This window comes from Homo sapiens, chromosome 17 (assembly GCF_000001405.40).
Source record: "Homo sapiens chromosome 17, GRCh38.p14 Primary Assembly".
Classification (NCBI taxonomy): domain Eukaryota; kingdom Metazoa; phylum Chordata; class Mammalia; order Primates; family Hominidae; genus Homo; species Homo sapiens.
In genome coordinates this window covers 21,609,782-21,633,567 of record NC_000017.11, presented here as the reverse complement: position 1 = coordinate 21,633,567, position 23,786 = coordinate 21,609,782, and the positions used below count along the sequence as shown (strand labels likewise).

The 23,786-nt window shown below is 41.7% G+C and overlaps 1 long non-coding RNA gene across 6 annotated transcripts in view, besides 1 other annotated feature; it reads right to left on the bottom strand.

Annotated features, from left to right (window-relative positions):
• Positions 1–20,676, bottom strand: part of LOC101930665 (uncharacterized) — a 31,355-nt gene extending 10,679 nt beyond the window's left edge. Inside the window, exons 1-4 of one of the 6 annotated variants that reach the window (XR_934333.3) lie at positions 20,367–20,676; positions 19,636–19,716; positions 19,038–19,165; positions 740–915 (exon numbers count right to left, since the gene is read on the bottom strand). This is a non-coding gene — a long non-coding RNA (uncharacterized LOC101930665). The remainder of the gene's footprint in view (positions 1–739; positions 916–19,037; positions 19,166–19,635; positions 19,717–20,366) is intronic. The other 5 variants (XR_934335.3, XR_934334.3, XR_934336.3 and 2 more) reach the window with 5 other exon arrangements.
• Positions 19,645–19,883: a silencer, noted in NCBI's record as "fragment chr17:21516952-21517190 (GRCh37/hg19 assembly coordinates)". NCBI's record gives its function as "represses an EF-1alpha promoter that drives an FKBP-Casp9 reporter gene in an ReSE screen in K562 erythroleukemia cells {active_cell/tissue: K562}" and the evidence as "EXISTENCE:reporter gene assay evidence [ECO:0000049][PMID:32094911]".
• Positions 20,677–23,786: the final 3,110 nt, after the last annotated feature.

Here is a 23,786-nt window from a genome sequence, read left to right as displayed (position 1 = left end):
TAATGGTAAAAGACTAAATGCCTCCCTACACAGGAACAACGTAAGAATGTCCATTCTAACTCTGTAATCATGACTACACTTCAAAGGAGTCCTCAGGAGGACCCCGTAGTACATTCTGATGACAAATCTGCTTTCTGAGTCTCTGAGAGGACCGTTTTATCCCATCCTTTCCTATTTTTCTTTAAACCTCTTACACCCATATCCTTGGTCTACTCTGAGATGATTATTTCACCTCATACTTTATTTTTCACAAGGTAAATCAATCTCTTACAAACTCTTCCTATGATAAAGTCTTCCTTCCTATCTACCATCCCTTCCTTCCTTCCTACCTACTATACAAATCTTCGTACCATCAATCTCTCAAGAAGACAGAGGTCTTTATCCTGGCCATCACTCAAGACATGCCAAGTTATCTGGCCAGCTTAAAACTCAACCACAACTTGGGAGTATAAATATAGGTCTTACCCTAGAAATTCTAGAGAATTGATAAGTTTTCTATTTATCATCAACTCCTGTCATCAAAAGCAAAGACAAGTTCAACTCCTGAAATTGGCATAAAGCCACAGTAAGAAGACAGAAATAATTAATTCCCAACCTTTGGTTCCTCGTCTTTGTAAATAGCTCTTGCCACTTAAAAAAAAAGGTAAATTTGGTGGTTTCTACCAACATGTGTATTAAATAGGAAAAGTAAAGAAAAACACAAAAAACACGTGCAATTTGCATAGTATTTGTTCCTTACCTGCTGGTGGCGGGTGCTGGGAAACGTATACTTTACAGAGTGAGGAGGATAACGACTTTGTTCTGTGCTGAATGCTCCTTGGTTGGGAGGGTAACCTGAACTTGACATTATCAGTAAAGAAGTCCTCACCAGACTGAGATCAACGCCAATAAACAATCATGTTTCTAGGAAACCACCTGAACAGGATGGGAAAAAAATAGAATTAATAAGAACTAAAACACCAAGTGTACTTCTAATAAATTATAACTATAGCTACATAAATAAAACCACAATTACCAGTAAAAGCTTCCTCTCAAGTATTTACTTAATAAAAGTTACCAAGGTTTGAAAACATTAATGCGTCATTTCTTTTTATATTTAAAATAGGTTAATATGTGACAAATAATATAATTAGCTATATAAAGTAAAAACAGTATATAAAAACAGCATAATATCTGGCACATAGTAACTGCTCAGTAAATAACTTTCTATAAATGTCTGAGGAATATAAAGACAAAAATACATGGTTTTAAATTTGGGAGTTGATAAGTCAATCGTGAAAATAATTCAAGAGTAGTTTTAAGGTAAGCATTTGTGCAGAGGAAGTATTGTCTTTATTAAATAATTCTGAAGCAAGGATGATAAAATACTAAGTTTTGTAATCACAGATGGTAGGTAGATGGACATTTGTTATGTTACTCTTCGCATGCTTCTATGGAACTGAAATAGCAAATAAAGAAAAAGAAGGTCATAAGTAGTGGCTCCTCCTGTAATCCCAGCACTCTGGGAGGCTGAGGCGGGCAGATCACTTGAGGTCAGGAGTTCGAGACCAGCCTGGCCAACATGGTGAAACTTCTTTTCTACTAAAAATACAAAAATTAGCCGGGCATGGTGACATGCGCCTGTAATCCCAGCTACTTGGGAGGCTGAGGCAAGAGAATCGCTTGAGCCTGGGAGGCAGAGGTTCAGTGAGCCGAGATCACGCCATTGCACACCAGCCAGGGCAACAGAGTAAGACTCCATCTCAAAAAAAAAAAAAGAAAGAAAAACAAAGCCATCTTCATTATAAAGTATATTCCTACTTGTCCACAATTCTAGACTAATTTGGTTTGTCTGTCTTTTCTTGTGCCAATGCCACACTTTTCAAATTACTCTAGTATTATGAGGTTTCATATCCAGCAGGGCAAGTTTCACCTCACTGTGCTTTGTTGTTGCTGCTACTTTCACCACCTTCCCAGCTATTCTAGCACATTTCCTCTTACACACAAGCATCACAGTCAGCTTGTCAGGTCCCAGAGAAATTCTGGATGAGAACACATAAATATTGAATTCACAGACTGACTAATGGGAGAACAGGTACCCTTATACTCCTGAGTATTCCCATCCTAAAACATGATTATCTATGTTTATGTTTCAGGATAACACAAATATTTATGTTATACATAATTAATATGGGAGTATTTTACATACATATGGTAGAGAATATTACATATGTATAAAAATGTGTGCCATAATATATAATTTTTATCTTAATTATATATAAAACTCCCATGACAAAAATTTTATATACACATATGTACATGTGCATGTGTGTACATACACTCTTACTTTAAGACCGGAGTTCTATTATTACCTAATTCGGTGGTTTTAAAAAAATAGAATTTAAATATAAGATGAAAATTACATAATTGTATACATAAAAATATAACAGATATAATTTTATGTATATAAAATCTCCACCCATTTAATACTTTATTATGAAAGTTTTAATTTTCTTTCCATCATTTCAATGTATTTGGGAAGAGGGCAAATTCAAAAAATAATTCAGTATGACAAATTGATCAATTTCCCAGTTTTTATTAATATATTTTTTATCTAGTTAGGTTTAGAAAATAAAATTTTCTAGGGAATTATCATTCAATCTAACTTTAAAACAAAACTTATAGGCTGGCCACAGTGGCTCACATCTGTAATCCCAGCACTTTGGGAAGTCAAGATCGGAGGATCTCCTAAGGCCAGGTGTTCAAGACCAGCCTGGGCAATGAAGCCAGACCTATCTCTACAAGAAAATTAAAATAATAATAATAATAATTAGTTAGGCGGCCAGGTGTGGTGGCTCATGCCTATAATCCCAGCACTTTGGGAGGCCGAGGCGGGCGGATCACGAGGTCAGGAGATCAAGACCATCCTGGCTAACACGGTGAAACCCCCTCTCTATTAAAAATACAAAAAAGTAGCTGGGCGTGGTGGTGGGTGCCTGTAGTCCCAGCTATTCGGGAAACTGAGGCAGGAGAATGGCATGAACCCAGGAGTTGGAGCTTGCAGTGAGCCGAGGACGGGCCACTGCACTCCAGCCTGGGCGACAGAGCAAGCCTCTGTCTCAAAAAAAAAAAAAAAGAAAAAAATAATTAGGCATGGCGGTACACACCCATGGTCCCAGCTACCTGGAAGGCTGAGGCAGGAGGATCACTTGAGCCCAGGAGGTCAAGACTGCAGTGAGCCATGATTGTGCCACTGCACTCCAGCCTGGGTGACACAATGAAACTCTGACTCAAAAAATAAAAGAAAAAATGTATAGAAAGAACTTTAAGGCCAGGTGTGGTGGCTCACGCACTTTAGGAGGCCAACGCGGGCAGATCACAAGGTCAGGAGTTCCAAGGCCAGCCTGGCCAACATGGTGAAACCCAGTCTCTACTAAAGATACAAAAAATTAGCCAGGCATGGTGGCACATGCCTGTAAACCCAGCTACTCGGGAGACTGAGGCAGGAGAATCACTTGAAGCTGGGAGGCGGAGGTTGCAGTGAGCTGAGATGGTGCCACTGCACTCCAGCCTGGGTGAGGGGTCCAGACTCCATCTCAAAAAAAAAAAAAAAGAACTTTAAAAACTGCATGTGGTACCATGTAATATATAAATATTTTAAATAAATATATCATCCTTTCTCCTGATGTCACGTTTCCTGCTGTTGTGAAAGCTGACCAGGAGAAGAGTCAGAAGACTGACCAGCTGTCCCTCAGTCTATTTTCTCCCTGCTCCCTTCCAAGGCCCGAGGCATGGAGGTCAGCAAATCTTAAGGATTGGAAGGTTGAGATTACCCAACTAACACTGACTTGACAGGTGAGAAACGTGAAGATCAGAGAAAGTCAATAATTCCTCCAGTATCACAAAATTGTCTGTGGCAAAATGGGAAAAACTAATGTTTTCTGCAATGTTTTGCGGCTTTCTCAGCAAGTAGTGAACTAGGAGGAGCTGAGATGTTCCGTGAGACCAGACATTAAAACCACCTGAGGAGCTTTCGCCTCATCTATACATCTGCAACTGCTCCAGGTGGAAAGGGAAAAGCCAACATGTGGCATTGTGGGGAGGGTTGATCTTTTTAGAAATAAACATTATATGCAGGACTTAAGAGTTTTTAAAAGTACCACAGAATACAAAGTGAAAAATCTCCTCGCCCTTCTCCTCCAGCTGTTACCCAGTTACCCTCCCAGAAGGCAACCAAAGTTACTAGTTTCTAGAGTGTCCTTTAGAAATATCCTACACATACATACACTCACACTTTTTCCCCTATGTAAATGGTGGCATACTAGAAACACACTGTTCTGTATCTTGCTTTTATTACTTAATACATCTTGGTTGGCCTGGCGCGGTGGCTCACACCTGTAATCCCAGCACTTTGGGAGGCTGAGGCGGGTGGATCATGAGGTCAGGAGATCAAGATCATCCTGGCTAACACAGTGAAACCCCGTCTCTATTAAAAATACAAAAAAGTTAGCCAAGCATGGTTGCGGGTGCCTGTAGTCCCAGCTACTCAGGAGGCTGAGGTGGGGAGAATGGCGTGAACCCAGGAGGCAGAGCTTGCAGTGAGCCGAGATCACATCACCAACCTCCAGCCTGGGCGACAGAGCAAGACTCCGTCCCCCCCACAAAAAAAAATACATCTTGGCAATTATTCTCATGCATCTATGGTTCTTTCTATTGCTAAAGAGTATTTCACTATATGGGCCAGGCGCGGTGGCTCACGCCTGTAATCCCAGCACTTTGGTCGGCTAAGGCGGGTGGATCACCTGAGGTCGAGAGTTCGAGACCAGCCTGACCAACAAGCTGAAACCCCGTCTCTACTGAAAATACAAAAATTAGTCAGGCATGGTGGCACATGCCTGTAATCCCAGCTACTCGAGAGGCTGAGGAAGGAGAATCATTTGAACCTGGGAGGCAGAGGTTGCGGTGAGCCGAAATCATGCCATTGCACTCCAGCCTGGGCAACAAGAATGAAACTCTGTCCAAAAACAAGAGTATTTCACTATATGAACGTTCATGCATTTTGTAGAAGTTTTCCAACTAATTCTGATCTGCTGTCCTAAAACATGCTTTAAGTGATCTATCTCTGCGCTCTCCTCCCAACTCAGACATCCCAAATAAATAAAGCTATAAATGGAATGCAGAGGCAAAAAAAAAAAAAAAGATTTTAACCCATTTTTTTCTAACAGTGGCCTAAATGATTAGAAACCCATGAGGTACAATTTTTTAATGCACATTGTTTAACTTTCAGCTATGGTGAGTCCTGAGTTCAACAATTACACTCAATGTCACTCAAAGTCACAAGTTAAGTGACTTCTCCATTTTTTCCCTCATCTCAGTAATCCTTCCTGTTGCCCTAGTTTTGTGGTATGACTTTAATGAAGTTTAACTTTATTATCTCAAAAAAAAAACAAAAAAGTCAGTTTTATTTAAAAGTACTATTCGCCCAATACAGAAGGGGGAAAAAAAAAAAACACTAGCAAGTTCAGGAATTAGCCCCTACTGGCATACAAATTTACAGGTCAAAGCAAGCCCTTCCTTTCCTCACATGAACTGCAGCCTGGAGACCACTACAACCACCTTCCTCAAAACTTATCCATGAGATACAGGGCAACAGTGCTCAGATCTTGTTTATTAACCAGAAGGTTTTCCTCGAAAGTCTTAAATGAAAGCTAAATGTACAAAAGGTACAATGGAGAAACATTCTGATCTAGTGAGAATGGGAGACCTAGGATTCATCTTTTCAGTCTCCCCCTGCCCTTCCCCATCCCTCCCTCCACCCTTCACTTCAGTCCTGGCTCACTAAGATACCTCGGCAGAATACTTTACATTTGAAACCCACTGAAATGAAAGAATCTAAAGTTCAGACTGAAGGGGAAGGGAGCACCTTAAGTGGCAGTATCAAATTATAATTTCAGTTCTTAGCACCAAAGCTCGTTAACTCAGGGTAGTTACATGGTTGACTCATGAACTAAAAAAATTCTATGAATTGTTTAAGAAATCTGATCAAGATTTTATAAGCAACTTCCTCATCTCTTAAATATCAACACATAATGTTTTAGGATGAGAATAATATAGTAATAATTATATGTCACTGTCATAAAAGACAATAGCACTTCTAACTGAATTATACAGATAAACCCAGAACTAGCCTCTTACATATTGCAAACAGGTAATACAATATTGCAAAATGAAATTGATCTATTTAAGTTCCTTTTTAAATCTTCTCATATTAAATAAACACACACATATTTACTCAACAGGAAAATCTTGCAACAACAGAATTTCAAATACTATCCTGCCAAAAAACAAGCAATTTTTCCTCCCAGCAGGAACTCCTGGCTTTTGGCCCACAACCTTTGCATAACCAAAATGTGTTATGCAAAGGTGTTCAAGGTGGCCTAAGCCATCTTGGGAAAAAACCTAAAAATGGCCGGGCACAGTGGCTCACGCCTGTTATCCCAGCACTTTGGGAGGCCAAGGCCGGCAGATCACAAGGTCAGGAAATCAAGACCATCCTGGCCAACATGGTGAAACTCCATCTCTACTAAAATACAAAAAAAAATTAGCCGGACATGGTGGTGCACACCTGTAGTCCCAGCTACTCGGGAGGCTGAGGCAGGGGAATCGCTTGAATCCGGGAAGCGGAGGTTGTAGTGAGCTGGCATCGTGCCACCGCACTCCAGCTTGACAACAGAGAGAGACTCCATCTCAAAAAAAAAAAAAAAAAAAAAAAAGCTAAAAATATACTTCACTGTGGCAGGACCGCAGATGCCACTTCAGATGAGCAAGAATGAATCCACCAAGCGTCACAATAGAGGTGAAGCCTACATTTCACCAAAGCAGAAAAAGGATCCTACAAAACATGCAATTTTTAACTGACAAAATAATAAAACCTCCTGATACAAAAGTATGTGATAGGGCAATGCCTCTATGACATTCAAATGCTAAAATATTAGTTATTAAACTGAAGCAAATTAGGTCACACCAGTTCCCACAAAGCTGTCCAGCTCTAGACCAATTTTAAAAGTATGTTAGGCAAGACAAGGCTAAGAAGGACCACCACCCTGGGCATCCCGACACCTAAAATCCTCCAACCTGGGGATAATTTAAAGAAAGCTGACCTCCTAAACTTATTACAGAGTCCAGCATCCAGGAGAGGAAAGACTAGAAATTATCTAAGTGAATTCTGTAATTTGTACAAGACCAGAGTGGTGCTATACTGGAATAAATTTTCTCCTGTAAAATAAACTAAAGCATTCTTCCCTTTGAGGGGAAAAAAAGCTACTGCTTCTCAGACTTTTGGTTAAGATCTAATCTGGGGGAATGCCATTGACAAGGTATTTTATTTGCAGCCTCTTCTGACATCATGACATCTTACTTAAAGACAGAGAAACAAATGGAAGCTAAAGAAAAAGCTTTTTAGTTAACCTATCCTACCTCTTATAAAGTATGATATTGAAAGAAAAATTTTAATAAGGATACAATTATTTGATAAATCTATGGGTACACATATTCAATAAGTAATTCTGGCCAGGCACAGTGGCTTATGCCTGTAATCCCAACACTTTGGGAGGCCGAGGCAAGTGGATCACTAGAAGCCAGGAGTTTGAGACCAGCCTGGCCAAAAAGGCGAAACCCCTTCTACGCTAAAAATACAAAAACTAACCGGGCGTGGTGGCACATGTCTGTAATCCCAGCTACTCAGGAGACTGAGCATGAGAATCACTTGAACTCAGGAGGTAGAGGTTGCAGTGAGACAAGATCGTGCCACTGCACTCCAGCCTGAGCAACAGAACAAGACTCTATCTCAAAAAATAATAAATACATAATTCTTAAATGAAAGAAAAATGATGCTACTTTACCTCTACATAAAGTGCTGTCCCAAGACAGGAGTACAATGTAACAATATCCAACTGAGAACTCTGTGGTATGTCGGCACTACACTGAACTAATTCTCTGAACTGAACAACACTCACTCACTCAACTTATAAGAACAAATATATTTCAAAACCAGCCAAGCACAGTGGCTCACGTCTCTAATCCCAGCACTTTGGGAAGCAGAAGAAGGTGGATCACTTGAGGTCAGGAGTTCAAGACCAGTCTGGCCAACCTGGTGAAACCTTGTCTCTACTAAAAATACAAAAAATATGGCTGGGCATGGTGGCTCACACCTGTCATCCCAGCACTTTGGGAGGCTGAGGCGGGAGGATCATGAGGTCAAGAGTTCAAGACCAGCCTGACCAACATGTGAAACCCCATCTCTACTAAAAATACAAAAATTAGCCGGGCATAGTGGCGTGCACCTGTAATCCCAGCTACTTGGGAGGCTGGGGCAAGAGATTCACTTGGACCTGGGAGGCAGAGGTTGCAGTGAGCAGAGATCACACCACTGCATTCCAGCCTGGGTGACAGGGTGAGACTCCATCTCAAAAAAAAAAAAAATACAAAAAATTAGCCAGGCGTGGTGGTGCACACCTGTAATCCCACCTACTCAGGAAGCTGAGGCATGAGAATCACTTGAACCTGGGAGGCAGAGGTTGCAGTGATCCAAAATCACACCCCTGCACTCCAGGCTGACCGACAGAGCAAGACTTCATCTCAAAACAAACAAAAAAAGAACAAATAAATTTCACAAGCAAAATGGATGACTACATGCCAATTCCCTCCTTGATTAACACAAAAGAAGAACAAAGAAATTAAGATAAAAATTTTAATGTAGATATTTGGCCTGAGTTAATAGATATAACAATATCTGAGTGGATATTACTAAAAGAGTTACCGTTTATTGAGCTCTAAATATATATTAGGCAGTGTGCTAAGACTTGGTGTGTGCATGAGCTCACCTAAAAGTCTGGTTCCACTATTAGCTCTAAGGCTGTAGGGAAGCTGCATAACTTCCTCAAGCTATGTTTTTCTAACTCAGAGACAGATACCTTAAAGATCATCTGCTGCTGCCTCCCCTTTGACCCACTAACAGAGACTACAGGTTATTAAGCAATATAAATCAAGGGTTATTCACAGACTCTGCTTTTTGCTGCACCCCCCTCAACACCCCCGAGCTCCACAAATCTTAAAGTCAAATGCTCTTAGCCTACTTTATTTTGGTACACACCTTAGAAACAAACAGAACTATCAAACACCTGTGAAGGCAAATATCAGCTCTGTTCTGCTCTACACGGCCTCTGCAGCAGCTAGCAGTACTTAGCTCTCAGTAGCACCCACTCCAACAGCAAGTTGTTTGGCTGTTCCTTACACACGAACACACACACACACACACACACACACACACGCACAGACTCTGAAGCTTCCCAGGCCTCTCCATCTAACTACCACCCTCCTTACCTCTTGCTGGAAAAACTCCTAACTGGGCTTCCCACTTCAATACTTTCTCAACTCAAAAAGCCAAGTGTTCTTTTTAAACCTTAAATCAGAACATGTCACTCTCCTGCTTCAGATTCCCCAAGGATTTCCTACGCACTGCAAATAAAGTCTCAACTACTTACGATGACCCAAGGCCCTACTTGATTTGGCCTCCTTACTTTCTAGATTGCTCACTAGGCCCCAGCAACATGAGTTTCCTTTCAGTTTCTTTAGGAGCCCTTCTCTGCCAGGTCTTTCCTAGCTGGGCCTTCGTCCTTCTTTACTCTCTACCAGGAACGCTGTTCCTGGCTCATTCAGGTGGCTAGCTCCTCCTCAAACTTAAGGTCCCAGTTCAAATGTCATCTCAGAAGAGTCTTTCCAACCATCCTACATATAAGGTAAGTTCCCACTAGTTACTCTCAATCACATCACCCTTTTGGTTCCTTTACAGGTTTATCATAATCTGAAATGGATTACGTACTTCATTTTATTTGAGTATATTCTGTCTTCTCTCACTAGAATAAAAACTACCTGTTTGATTCTCTATAATATTTGTTGAATAAAATAAACAAACTCCCATTCATGGGTCTGATGTTTTTTAAAATAAATAAACAAGAAATATACAAGACTTATTTGTACAGGACTTATTTGAAGCAAAGTTTGAAAATCTACAGAGAGACATAAAAATCTATTAGAACACAGGACAGTAAGTACATAAAGATGTCAATTTCCCCAAACTTCACCTACAATTTCAGTACTCCCAATCAATATTCAGTATTCAATAAAAATCTCTATGATTTCTTTTTGAATGTCACAGAATGATTCTAAAGTTCATCTAGAAGAACACATAGACCAGAAATGTCAAAGTCTGAAAAAAAAGAGTAATGAACAGGTAACTAACCCCATCTGTATTAAAATTATAAAATGATAGTAATTTAAAGTGTATGGTAATACACAAGAGACCAAAATAACAAGACCAATCAGAAATAGTCCCAAACACATTTAGTAAATGACAAAAGCTGCAATTCTAATAGTGGGGCAAAAAACAGATTATTCACTAAATGGTGCTGACACAACTAGCTAGTTGGGGTAGAATTCACACACAATTTTATCCCCCAAAATATGTCTCACTTCTTATACCAGAAGTAAATTCCAGATGGATCAAAGAATTAGAAGTTTTAAAAAGAGAAGGAAAAGGAAAAAAAGAAACCATTGAAGTATTAAATACAATCTGGGGACTTCTTTGTTTTAAAAATACAAAAACGCATGCAGTTAAAAAGTCTTCCTCTCACTCATTCTTCTTACTATGACAACCAATGTTTCCAAGTATCATATATCCTGTGATATACAAGCAAAAATGTATACGTTTTCATCTTTAAAGCAAAGACACATAGAGGCATATAATGTTCCTCACTTTGTTTTTCTAGTTTAGTAGATAGATGAATATTTTACATTTTGGAGCAAGGAAAGTCTACTTTGAGCACAAAACACAAAAGTCACATCAATAAATTAATGAGTCACAGCTAACATTTATTATTTACTTACTTTGTGCCATCCACTATGCCTAATGCTATTTATATTATCTCCATTTTACAAACAAGGAAATGAAGGTGTACAGAGGTTAAATAATGTGCCCAAGTTCCCACAGCAGCACAGTGCTGGGTTTGGATTTATCTGACTACATAACATTACAAAAGAATAGCTAGGGGGATATGTGCACACGTATGAAAAAAGTGAATAAAGCCAGGGCACGTTGGCTCACGCCTGTAATCCCAACACTTTGGGAGGCCCAGGCGGGCGGATCACCTGAAGTCGGGAGTTTCAGACCAGCCTGACCAACATGGAGAAACCCCACGTCTAGTAAAAATACAAAATTAGCCAGGCATGGTGGCGCAGGCCTGTAACCCCAGCTACTCAGGAGGCTGAGGCAGGAGAATCATTTGAACCCGGGAGGCGGAGGTTGAGGTGAGCTGAAATCATGCCATTGCACTCTAGCCTGGGCAACAAGAGCAAAACTCTGTCTCAAAAAAAAAAAAAAAAGAAAAGAAAAAGAAAGAAAAAAAGTGAATATGTAGAGAACTTTTAACCTGTTAAAAACCAGTAGCCCCATCAGAAAATAAACAAACAGCAAAAATAGACAATTTATAAAAGACATATGGCCAAGCGCAGTTGACGCACACCTGTAATCCCAGCACTTCGGGAGGCTGAGGTGGGTGGATCACCTGAGGTCAGGAGTACAAGACCAGCCTGACTAACATGGTGAAATCCCATCTCTACTAAATACATAAATTAGCTGGGAGTGGTGGCAGATGCCTGTAATCCCAGCTACTTGGGAGGCTGAGGCAGGAGAATCGCTTGAACATGGGAGGCGGAGTTTGCAGTCAGCCGAGATCCTGCCACTGCACTCCAGCCTGGGTAACAAGAGCGAGTCTCTGTCTAAAAAAAAAAAAAAAAAAAAAAAAGCCAGGCGCGGTGGCTTATGTCTGTAATCCCAGCACTTTGGGAGGCCAAGGTGGGTAGATCACCTGAGGTTGAGAGTTTGAGACCAGCCTGGCCAACATGGAGAAACCCCATCTCTACTAAAAATATAAAATTAGCCAGGAGTGGTGGTGCATGCCTATAATCCCAGCTACTATGGAGGATGAGGCAGGAGAATTGCTTGAACCCAGGATTCAGAGGTTGCAGTGAGCTGAGATCAAGCCATTGCACTCTAGCCTGGACAACAAGAGCAACACTCCGTTTCAAAAAAAAAAAAAAAGAAAGAAAGAAATACAACTCTCTCCATATTAAAAACAGTTCATCATCAACAGTGATTGATAAAACACCAATCAGAATCACATTTTTTCAGTTCCTAAATTGTCAAAATGTTTTGAACTGTAATATCTAGTATTGGCCAGGGTATGGGGCATACCTGAATACTACTGGTAGCTTTACAAATTGGTACAACAATCTTTTGGAAGGAAAATGTATAAATATCTATCCATATCTACATTATTCACATCTTTTGATTTGAATTCAAATCAAAAGTGGAGTTGGTTTCAGCAACTCCACTTCTAGGAATCTATCCTACAAAGCTGTTTGTACAAGTACACAAAATACATATACATATGTACATGTGCATAAATATTCATACACACACACACAATTGTTTACAGCTTTGTTTTTCTGGCAAAAAAAAAAAAATCCAGTGACCATAAGTTGATTAAGCAAATTATGGTATTTTCTCTTTTTTTGTTTGAAACAGAGTCTCACTCTGTCACCCAGGCTGGAGTTCAGAGGCATGGCTCACTGCAATCTCCTCCTCCCAGTTTCAAGTGATTCTCCTGCCTCAGCCTCCCAAGTAGCTGCGATTACAGGCACATGCCACCATGCCTTGCTAATTTTTGTATTTTTAGTAGAAATGGGGTTTCACCATGTTGGCCAGGCTGGTCTTGAACTCCTGACCTCCGGTGATCCAGCCACCTCAGCCTCCCAAAGTACTGGGACAACAGGAGTGAGTCACCGTGCCGCTGGCAAATTATGGTATTTTCATGTACTAGAAATGGGGTATTAAGTTGCTGTTAATGATTGATAGAGGTAACTCTGAAATAAATAGACAAACTTGGAACAGTAGTATACAAAAGAATAGTACATTATGATTCCATAATACAGAAAATTATACAAACAGAAAAAAAAACTGGAAGAATATGCAACAAACTCAGTAGATTACATCCAGGAAGCGGTTCTTTCAATTTCAGTATATATAAAAAATAATGTATTACTTATACTTAGTGAAAGATAAGATTTTAAAATAGCATATCCTCCTTCATGCATTAAAATGATTTTATGTGAATATAAAGTAACTTCTTTCTACCCCCTCAACAGGATGTATATACTCCTACATCAGGTATATTAACGTTCTGCATATTTTAGGTTATAACTCCTAGATAGCATAAGTTTTGATTTCATTCCAAATACCTCCAAATACATAAAAGTTATTCTAATTAAAAATGAATTTAAAAATCTTAAAAGTAATGCAAAGTTAAACATCTTTGAACAGAAACTCAAAGTCATGATGATGACTACTTAAACATTTTCAAAATTACATAAATCTCTGTTATTGCCAAGGGAAATGAATTGCCTAAAACAAATTACTCTGAATGTGAACAGTGTATGACAGTGATAATGGCAAGAAGAATGTCTGTCAGTTCAACCAAGTATGGGGTAAAGGGGCAATCTATAAGCATAAAGGTGACTCTCATCATAAATCTGAGTCGAATTTTCCTAGAAAAATGTAACCTTCGCCGGGCGTGGTGGCTCACTCCTGTAATCCCAGCACTTTGGGAGGCCAAGGCAGGCAGATCACAAGGTCAGGAGATCAAGACCATCCTGGCTAACATGGTGAAACCCTGTCTCTACTACAAGTAGGAAAAATTAGCCGGGCATGGTGGCGGGCACCTGTAGTCCCAGCTACTCTGGAGGCTGAGGCAGGAGAATGGCGTGAACCTGGGAGGTGGAGCTTGCAGTGAGCCGAGACCATGCCACTGCACTCCAGCCTGGGTGAGAGCGAGACTCCGTCTCAAAAAAAAATAAGAAAGGAAAGAAAAATATAACCTCAATATGTTTGGTTTTGATATCAGTTTATTTCTGTATAACAAAGAATAAAAACAGCCAAACAGCCCAAATTTTGTTCCTCGAGTACGCTGTAATGGGGGAAAGAAATCCAAATAAGTTGGGAATCTTGACTTTTCCTTTACTCCTGACTAATCTACTTAAGAATTTAATTTTTTATATAAACTAGTCGATATTATTCTTTCAAAGGGAATCCTAAATTCTATTATAATCAACCAACTATTCCATATTTCTTTCTTTTTTTTTTTTTTTTTTGAGATGGGAGTCTCGCTCTGTCGCCAGGCTGGAGTGCAGTGGCACAATCTCGGTTCACTGCAACCTCTGCCTCCCAGGTTTAAGCAATTCTCCTGCCTCAGCCTCCCGAGTAGCTGGGACTATAGGCGCGTGCCACCATGCACAGCTAGTTTTGTTTTGTTTTTTTTTTTTTATATTTTTACTAGAGACGGGGTTTCACCATGTTGGCCAGAATGGTCTCGATCTCTTGACCTCGTGATCCGCCTGCCTCGGCCTCCCAAAGTGCTGGGATTACAGGCATGAGCCACCGTGCCGGCCAATCTTCCCATATTTCTAACTCCCAGTTTTTTCCTAGGATTGAAACTACTCCAAAATTTCCTGCATATATAAATTAAAACATTATTGCATTCTAATATTATCTAGAACCATGAGTGCTGTCTAGGATGAACCAATCCCATATTTACTTTCTCTTCCTCCCCCAAATCCCAATAAACAGAATTTTTTTTCTTTTTTAAAGAAATGCTTTTAACTGGGCTCAGTGGCCCACACCTATAATCCCAGCACTTCAGGAGGCCAAGGTGGGAGGATCACTTGAGCCCAGCAATTTGAGGTCAGCCTGGGCAACATAATGAGACTCTGTTTCTACAAAATAAAAGAAATTGACCAGGTGTGGTGGCACACACCTGTAGTCCCAGCTACTCAGGAGGACAGTGTGAACCCAGGACTCGGAGGCTGCACTGAACTATGATCACACCACTACTCTCCAGCCTGGGCAACAGAGAGAGACTTTCTCTGTAAAAAAGAAAAAAAAAGAAATATTTTGATAATTTACTAATTACAGCTATGTTAGTCACTGACATTGGTGAAATTTCTACCTGTTTTTTAATTTCCAAAAACTATTCAGCATCAAACTGCCATATGTGTATCAGACATCTTCTACAGCATCCACACTAACTCTAGCTGCAAAGCTCTTTTATGCATTCAACAAGTATCTGCTACTCCCGGGCACAAGGTGTTATTCTGGGAGTGGGAAAAGAGGAAATGAAATTTAAAAACTCAGATACAGACATGCCTACAAAGGGCTTATGGTCTAGAGGCAAAGGATCAAGAGTTTCTAGAAAAAAAATATACATTTTGGAGAAGAGGGAACAGGAGAGACACTTCCTGGATGATGTAATATGTGATCAAACCCTTGAAAAATAGGATAAATTTAGATGTAGCAGAGTTTGGAAGATAAGGGAGGAAAGGAGTATTCCAGAAACAAGCATAGTAAAAAGAAAAAACAAAAAATTCTTCTTAATGCAACATAAAATAGCCCAAGTAAAATAAAGAAATATGCCATGCTTCAGTATTTATGTAAAGATTATCAGCTTAATAAAAATGTGCCTTTTCCTTTACAATACATTTTATAGGCCGGGCATGGTGGCTCATGCCTGTAATCCCAGCACTTTGGGAGGCCACGGTGGGAGAATTACTTGAGCCCAGAATTCAAGACCAGGCTGGGCAAAACAATCAGACCCTATCTCTATTTTTAAAAAGTTAAAATAAAACAAAATAAATTTTATAGCATGAATACATACAGAAAATATTACAAATGAGCTTTTTGATGTAAAAAAAATTCATAAAGAATACAGTCAGCCAAGTGCGATGGCTCACGCCTGTAATCCCAACACTTTGGGAGACCAAGGCGGGCAGATCACTTGAGGCCAGTTCGAGATCAGCCTGGACAACATGACGAAACTCTGTCTCTAAAAATACAAAAATTAGCCAGGCATGGTGTCATATGCCTGTAATCCCAGCTGCTTGGGAGGCTGAGCACGAGAATAGCTTGAACCTGGGAAGTGGAGGTTGCAGTGAGCTGAGATTGTGCCACTGCACTCCAGCTTGGGCAACAGAGCAAGACTCTGTCAAAAAAAAAAATTCATGTTTGTGCTATTTATCTAAGCTTTTATATTAATATAACAATTGAAATTCCTCATACTTAAAAAAAAATCCGGAAGTCTGAAAGTAGGCAAAACAAACAACAGCTAATTTATAAAATAATTTAACCTATTTGTAGGCCGGGTGCAGTGGCTCATGCCTGTAATCCCACCACTCTGGGAGGCCGAGGCGGGAGGATCACCTGAGGTCAGGAGTTCGAGACCAGCCTGACCAATACAGAGAAACGCTGTTTCTACTAAAAAATGATTTTAACACTGTCTTCATTTCCCAAAGATTACTGAAGTCATGTGAAATAAAAGGCATTAGAGATTCTATTTTTCTGACAAAATATTTAAGAGCCTTCCTTTTCTTCTAAGCCAAGTAATTAGGGCTCCTTTATATATACATCATATACACAACACTTCTAGACAGGAAAAGATCTAGCAGTGGTAAGTTTTTCTTTCTCATTTTATGAACCCTAACACAAATTCCACAGACCATCTATGACATGAACTTTCTGACTTTTCCTGTATTTCCCTCTTTCATAATTAGTCATTCTACTTTAGGACAAAAATTTGCCATACAAGATCCTCTCTCATATAACATTTCTTTCCATCATAACTTTTCTTACCATAAATACATCTTCATATCCACAACTTTCTTTAGATCTCTCTCCCCGACTGATTTCTGATGCCCACCCAAACCTAAAAGGTCAGATAACACAAAACAAAACAGAGGAGAGCCTCAGATTTTGAGAGAGACCTGTCTGCCTGAAGTTCTTGGGGTTCCATGAGGACAATAGAGGTTTCTCCTAAAATGGGTTTTGTAGCACCTTCTGTTTTTCTTTAAGGAGTCCCAGGCTGTCAGAAATTACCTTAGATCCTCTCATGTGGGCACTGAGTGGCAACAAGACAGACTAGGGAACAGTGGCAACAAGGCAGACTAGGGAACAGTGGCAACAAGACAGACAACTGAGCAGAAAAAGAAAAACTTACTACAGTCCCCACTGTAAAGATGGATAAACTGAGGCACCATGCAGTTTAAAAATTCATGTTACATAGAGTTGGGCTCCACAACTCACTCTCTTAACCATCCTGTAATTTTGCTGAATCTATGCCCAGTCACTGATGCACCTGTATGGTACCTCATGGCCCCCTTAGAGCTTAGAACCTGGGTTTCATTCCTGCTCTACAGCTATATAATTTAACAATTTTCCTCCGAATTTGTTGGATTCTAACCCTATATTTCTAAAATTTTATTAACATTACTGAATCTTAAAGGGAGCTGTGATGTCTTTAGTCTTTAGAAATATTAAATCTATAAACAACTATACGCAGTTAAACTGTATTCAAATTTCTACATGCTTTAAAACATTGAGGCAAAGCATTAAGAAACACACCTAAGAAACTGCAACCAATCTACTCTGGACAAAAATTTAGATACTATCTCTTCAAAATAAGCTACCTAGTGATATTTATACATATTCTTCCATATACCAACAGTATCTTACATGTTCATAGCCTTAAAAATAACTAAAGTGTCAGAATTATAGGCATTACACATTTCTGTTGGCTTGAAAAATGGTACAAAACGCATAAACTTCTAGAGTGATCCGTTTAATAAAAGAGTTCATACCAAAGGTAATAATACTAGGAATCAAAGAGGGCTAAACACTGCAGGTTCTTAAAGGCGAAACTTAATGAAACCTTGTTTTTGGTTGTGAATGTTTGCCTTACAACATTATACACGATTCTCCCCTCTTCTTTTTCCTCTTGCAAAGATGTGGTGATGAACCCTTTGCCATGCAGATGACAATACTCTTGAAAATGGTGGCAGAAAAAAAAAATGAAGGGAATATGGTTCACTTAATCATCTCATAAATTAGAACTTATTACCCCTGTGACTCTTGGATAGCTCCAGAAAAAAATATGTGACAGAGATGAAATGGCTGTTTTGCTACCAATATTTTATGTGATGTTTCATTTTTTGATTCCTTGAATGACACAACACATTAGCCCATTTATGCCAGAGGTTGCAATTTTTGAATTTTTGCGTAAGTGAAAAATCAGACCTTGTCGATGACATTTAACAGTAAGATATAAATAATTTCCACATGCTTAGCGTGGAACACTAGGCATAAGTGGGCTAACACAATTATGAAAGCATAGCTATTCAAGTAACTAATTATACAACTGATTTCTTTTTCCTCATCTCTAAAACATAGTAAGGGATCAGTTATTTAAAAAACACAACAGTGACAAGTATTTTATTTTTAACTCAGTTTTGGTTTGTTAAGGCTATTGCTTGGCATAAAAATACAAAAACAGGAGGAGAAACAAGAATACAAACATGAAATAGTAGTAGCAAAAGAAAATGAAGAGGAACAAGAAAATGAGAAGAAAATACACAATGGAAGAAAGGAAAAAGAACAGGTGTGGGAATTAGAAGGCCTATCATATGACACTTTTTATCCCCTCCTCGATTCATAAAATTTGAGTAACTCCAAGAGTATCACAACAAAAAACAAGCAAAAGGATACACAAATAGTCACCCTCTAAATTTTGTTAAGAATGAGATAATGCTGCCACTCACGCCTAGCTCAGGCACCAGCAGGAGGAGGGCACACTCCAGAGATTGCAGGAGAAGGGGGAGGACTCCTCTTTGTCCTAGGTGTACCACCACCACTGCCACCGAGGCCTTCGTTACAGCACCCACAGGTTCCTCCCCACCCCAGAACGGGGTGGGCCCTGCAGTGCTCCTACTCCCCCTTCCCGGCCCCCAGACTTCCTACTGCTACCACCACTAGCGCCGATGCCAATACAAGCAGTTATCCTCAACGTACCAGCCCACCCTACCAGGATCCTACCACCAGGCCCCCGTGGGTGCCCTCCTACCGCTCCAGTCGAGCTGTGGTCTCCATCTCCAACACCAACTGCATGAGGCAAGCTGCAGAGCCACGTCATCTGCTCGACCGTACCACAGGCGGCAACTCCTTCTCCTCCTTCAGCCTGGCTTGGAGCAGCTGGGCAGGCAAAGCAAGAAAAGCCGAAAACAGGACTCAGGGATTGGAACCATTAGAGCCTCACCTCGTTATGCTGGTGACTGGGTGTCAGGGATCAGTTTCATTGAAGGCACTCACACCCACCTTCCAAAGTCCAACCTCTCCTTCTGGCAAAAGCTGGCCAGGAACTGGGGCCTGGGGTGGGATCGAGTGCCTTCACTGAAACCGGCCCCTGGCCAAGTCCAGCTGGCCAGGAATTGCTGGGCCCACCAAGGCTGCCCTCCTCCAGGAGCCTGAGTAGGAGAAACTCAGACCCAGCCAGCCCTCCCCACCCAAGGGCTGATTCCCATTCCTGACACCTCCACCCACAGTGCCCTGTCTCCCACTTCCCCCATGGTGCATACTACTCCCTGCCCGGTAGTCCCAGGTGGTCTTCGCAACACAAAGCATGAGGGCAGACCAAGAAACCACAGTGGGTGTGGAGGCCCTACCGTGCAATCCAGCTCGAGCAGAGAAAATCGCCTTCTAGAGTCTGGAGTCTGAGAAGAGGAAAACGATCCCTTACTTGGAAGCTACGAGAAGAAGGAGGCCACTGCTGTCGCTGCCGCTGCCACCTCCTCAGCTCGCCAATGCCGCTGGCAGTGTAGCCCCCATGGCACCCCTAATCTGCCCCCTGCCACTAGCAGTGTAGCCCCCGGATAGCACATCCAACACTCCCTACAGTTTCAGGCAATGTAACCCCAATCCCCCCCACAAAAGCCCCCCCACACACACTTCAGGGAGCATACCACCCAATAGTGCCCACAATCTGACCCAGCCACAGGCAGTTCAGCTCCTAATGGTGCACCCCCCAGTCACAGACAGTGCAGCACCCAACAACGCCCCTAAACCACCCCCCACTGCCAGCATTGTAGCCCCGGATAACTCCACCCAACCCACTCCCTGCCGCAGGCAGTGCAGCATTAGATAGCACCCCTAATCCTATCCCAGCCACCAGCAATACAAGCTAGTGTACACAATCTGCCTCCCCCGACCACCCCTGCCACCACGGGCAGTATAACCCCAGATAGCCAGGCAACCTGCCCCACCACCAGCAATGCAAACCCAGAGAGTGCCCCAAACCAGACCACTGCCACAGGCAGGGTAGCCTCTAGCGGTGAACCCCAATAGGACACCCAACCCTTGCCCCCAGAGACATACAGGGCAGGCCCAGAAAACTCACCTACCCCATCACATGTCTACCACCGTGGCTGAGCTGCAGTCTCCGACGTTACCACCAACCACAGCGAGGCGAGCCATGGTGGCACAGGTTCCAGCCTCCAGCATGTGGCAGTACCTCTTCCTTCTAGTCCTCCTGCTGCTGACCGCTCTCCTACTGCTCTATCGCCACCACCAACCACAGCAAGGTAGTGACCTAGGCTCCAGGCTCCATCCATCCTCCACCCTCCAGCAGGCGGAAGGTTGCGGCCTCTTCCAGTCCCCTAAGCTTGACACAGAGCTACTCCTCCGCTCGACACAGAAGAGCCTGAAATGACCTGACGCCACCTCAGCATGCTTTATATGTGAGGTTATGCAAATGCAGTTCCTGGACTACATGTTCTGATTGGATGAGAGAAAAACCTCTAGGCCTACTCTGATTGGACTTTATTTTCATGCTGTGATTGGTTGTGTTAAGACTTGCTCTCATCCAATCAGAACATGATCATAAAGTCCAATCAGAGTAAGCCTGGAGGCTTTTTTCTCATCCAATCAAGACATGCAGTCCAGGAACCTCCGTGGGCATTACCGCAGTATATAAATGATGCTGAAGCAGGACCACGTTTTTTCAAGTTCCTGTATCTTCATGTTGAGTTCTTGCTGCCCAACGTAGAGGACTAGGAATCAGGAGTCGGTGGCCGTATACTGGTGGCTGGAGCCGCGGGAGCGCGGCTCGCCTCACTGCGGTTGTTGGCAGTGACGGAGAGAGCAGCGCGGCTGGAGCGGGCAGGAGAAGGAAAACACTTTTGGGATAGATAGAGGGGAGTAAAGAGGGTAGTTAGGGCCAAAGGGAAAAAAGGATAGCTTAGCCAGAGAAGACGTTGCAAAAAGATGGCAGCGAAAAGATGGTGGGGAAAAAAGTTTTTGGGTAGATGGAGGTGTAAAAACAGGGTGGGGAGCGGGAGGGAAGGAAAGTTTTGCAGAAAGAGGGTGGGTAAAAAGTTTAAGGGTAGATGGAGGGGGAAAAGAGGGTGGCAAGTGGGCGGAGGAAAGAGGGAGGTGATGGGGGAAAATGGGGCGAGCAGCAGGGAGAGAAGGTTTTGTGAAAAGATAGTGGGGAGAAAATACAGTGAGGGGGGAAAGTTTTTGGGTTGAGCAAAAGAGGGTAGCAAGTGGGAGAAGGAAAAAGAGGGTAGCCAACAGGAGGAAGACAAGGTTTTGTGAAAAGACGGTGGGTGAAAAGTGTTTTGATAGATGGAGGGGGGAAAGAGGGTGATGCATAGGAGGAAAGAGGGTGGCGAGAGGTAGCAGGGATGGGGGTTGGGAAAACAACGGAAAAATAGTTTGGGGTAGAGGGAGGGGAAAAAAGAGCACTAGTGGTAAAGGGGGGAGACTTTGAAAAGATGGTGGGGAAAGTTTTGGGGTGTAGATGGAGGGGGAAAGAGGGAGGTGAATAGGCGTGGGGAGGCGGCTTTGTGAAAAGACGGAGGGAAATGTTTTTGGGTAGATGGAGAAGGGAAAGAGAATGGCGAGGAACGGGGAAAGACGAAGAAAACAGTTTTTGGTTGGATGAAGCAGGGAAAGAGGGTAGTGAGCAGCAGGAGTGGAGAGTGTTTTGGGAAAAGACTGGGGAAAATGTTTTTGCTTAGATAAAGGAGCAAAAGAGGGTGATGAGAGCGGGACGGGGAAAAAGGGTGGCCAGGGATAAGGGGAAAAGAGGGTGGGAAGAAACTGGGGAAAGGGTTTGGGTAGATGGATGGGGAAAAGGGTGTTGAGCAGGAGAGTAGAGGCGGCTTTGTGAAATGAGGGTGGGCAAAAAATGATGAAGTTTGGGGGCAGATGGTGAAAGAAAAAGGGTGGTGAGAGGGAGGGGGCCAAAGGCCGTTTGGAAAAGAAAGTAGGGAAATAATGGTGGGGGACAAAGGTTTGGGGTAGATTTTTTTAATAAGATCATTTGTATGTTTGCTTTTCAGTAGTTTGAGTTCTTTATGTATTTTGTGTATGAACCCCTTGTGTGATGCATGGTTTGCAAATACTTGCTTCCATTATCTGGGTGGTTTCGTTTTTATTAAATTTTAATTCAATTTAATTTTTTTTAGACGCAGTCTCGGTCTGTCGCCGAGGTTGGAGTGCAGTGGCACGATCTCTGCTCACTGCAAGCTTTGCCTCCTGGGTTCACGCCATTTTCCTGCCTTGGCCTCCCGAGTAGCTGGGACTACAGGCGCCTGCCACCACGCCAGGACACTTTTTTTGTATTTTTAGTAGAGACGGGGTTTCACTATGTTAACCCAGGATGGTCTTGATCTCCTGGCCTCATGATCGGCACGCCTCAGCCTCCCAAAGTGCTGGGTGTACAGGCGTGAGCCACCGCGCCCGGCCTGTTTTTTCATTCTACTGATTGCTTCCTCTGCTTTGCAGAAGCTTTTTTTTTTTTTTTTTTTTTTTTGAGACGGAGTCTCGCTTTGTTGCCCAGGCTGGAATGCAGTGGCATGGTCTCAGCTCACTGCAAGCTCCGACTCCCGGGTTCACGCCATTCTCCTGCCTCAGCCTCCCGAGTATGGGACTGCAGGCGCAGGCTACCAAGCCCCGCTAATTTTTTGTATTTTTAGTGGAGATGGGGTTTCACCGTGTTAGCCAGGATGGTCTCAATCTCGTGAACTCGTGATCCGCCTGCCTCGGCCTCAAAAAGTGCTGGGATTACAGGCGTGAGCCACTGAGCCCGGCCTGGAAACCTAACTTTATTTTTTAGTGTTGTATTTGTATATATACTTTTAACAGCCCTGAGTTTTAATAAAGTTCTTTTAAAAAATGTATCTTATATTTCAGAAATATACCCTAAGGAATGTGATTAGTTGGGTGGCATGTTGTTTAGTTTTTACAATTGAAGGATTGTCATTCCTTTGTACAAAAAAAAAAAAAGTGAATTTTTATCATATACTAGAGGAAAGAAGGCAGATACTAAATAATAAATATTGTATGCTTCCACGTAAATAAAATTTGAAATTATATAAAGACAAAATGCATTGAACTTTTCTGGGGTTGAAGGGAATTCATTGGCAAAGGTCGTGCAATAAATGTGTAGGTGAAGGGAATATTCTATATTTGATTGTGTAGGTGGTTAGCTTTATAAATTTGTAAAACTGAACTGGACTAAAATGTGTGCCTTATACGCAGATTATTCTATAAAATTGCTTAAAACTAGTTAGGAGAGAATCAGTCAAGGGGAAAAGAAAGAAAAGGCACGTGAAAAAATAATGCCAATGCACTAGAATTATCTTTGATGACATTAAATATAGCCTGGTCTTCTTTTAATTCTTTTTAAAATTTACGTAGATTTCTCAATCCTTTGATACTTTTTCCTCAACACATCTTATATTCTCATATGTTAATGTATGGCTACATAGGAGAGGGCTCTCTTACAGTTGGACTGGAACAGCTTGATATT